This window comes from Homo sapiens, chromosome 3 (genome assembly GCF_000001405.40).
Source record: "Homo sapiens chromosome 3, GRCh38.p14 Primary Assembly".
Lineage (NCBI taxonomy): Eukaryota > Metazoa > Chordata > Mammalia > Primates > Hominidae > Homo > Homo sapiens.
This window is the reverse complement of record NC_000003.12, coordinates 166,509,617-166,511,083: the sequence shown is the minus strand read 5'-3', so window position 1 is coordinate 166,511,083 and position 1,467 is coordinate 166,509,617. Positions and strand designations below refer to the sequence as shown.

Sequence of the window (1,467 nt, the reverse complement as noted above, 5' to 3'; positions counted from 1 at the left end):
GAAGGTGTGTTTCACTGTGAGGAAACCCACTCATCTGGGCTGCCCAGATTCCTCAGAACTACCAGGAGGAGAGGCTACGTCTGCTGGTCCACAGAGACTGCGGCCACCCCTCCCGCTAGGGGCTGAGACCCAGGGAGATCTGAATTCTGTCCCTGAACCTCTGGAGCTATTGGAGATCCTGCAGCAGGAAGCCCTACCCACTGAGGAAGGATGGGTCAAGGTTAGACCTGAAGAGGCACTCTGGCTGCAGACTGCCACAGTGGGTGTGTTGGGCTGTGGGAACAAGGCTTGGGACCAAGCCATCCAGCCTCCCTGACTCCAGCAGGGGGAAAAGCACAGTCTGGAGCTATACAAAATGGGTACTGCCCTTCCCCCTACCCGGGGAGCATACAAAATGGTACTGCCCTTCCCCTTACCCCTTAACCTGTTAGGCAGTTGAAATTCCCAGTGCTGGCTGCTGCCACGCCCACAAGGAGCTCAAATGGCTTAGACAGCAGGCAGCTGCAGCAGTTGCTCGTTGCCCCTCCCCCTAGGAGTTTGGTAGGCTTAAGCAGGTTCCAGCTAAAAGGCTGTAAGAATCTGCATGTTCTGGGGTTGGGACTCTAGGCCCTGGTGGCATGGGCTTGTGAGTGGGATCTTTCCATCCGTGTGGGTTGCACAGTTTCCCCAGCTGGGTATCACACTCACTCACCACCTCCCTTCGCTGAGAGGAAGGGGTTTCCCTTCCCCATGTGGCTCTCAGGTGGGTCACACCACACTGCTCTTCCTTCTCTCTGTGGGTCATGCCAGCTTTCATGTCAGTTTTGACGACAGAACCTGGATACCTTGGTTGCTAGTGAAAGGTTCACATGCTTATTATGGTTTTTGTCGAAGGGAGCCTCCGAATCCTGCTGCTTCTAGTCAGCCATCTTCTATGACAACTATTATACGTAACATTTACTGGGCTTCTGGAATGTACTGAAGAATTGAAATAATGTAAATTATATATAATGTATGGTAGAGCTATTCAGAGTGTAGAATGTAAAATGTAAAGATACTCAAATTGTGATATATGAGGCAGCCAAAGTTTGATATATTAAGTATTGTGACCTGTTTTTACTTAGGAAATATTTGTAACATCCTATGCTCACTTCTCTCCCATATAGCATCACTCCCCAGAACAAAAAGAGTAAGATGGTTGGCCTTAACATTTTGTAAGCTAAGGTCCAGGCATACGTAAGAGAAAATATTGAATCAATAAGTGGTGACAGAGTTAGTTTTCCTTACCTTTGAATAATAGCTCAAATTAGTTTGACTGAGAGAAAGGACAATATAATATAACAAGATCAATAGAGAAGTCACCAGTGTATATATATCTGAATAAAGGGTCTGTGAATTGCAGGGCCCTCTGGAATGAGGTTAAAAGGCCCACAATTCTACACTAAGGAGGTCAGATTAATACCATAAAAAATGGCAAGTCACTGTAAA

At 47.2% G+C, this 1,467-nt stretch overlaps 1 annotated feature.

Annotated features, from left to right (window-relative positions):
- Positions 346–847: an enhancer, noted in NCBI's record as "H3K4me1 hESC enhancer chr3:166228025-166228526 (GRCh37/hg19 assembly coordinates)". NCBI's record gives its function as "activates a minimal SCP1, AML or CMV promoter by ChIP-STARR-seq in primed H9 embryonic stem cells {active_cell/tissue: H9 hESC(primed)}" and the evidence as "EXISTENCE:reporter gene assay evidence [ECO:0000049][PMID:30033119]".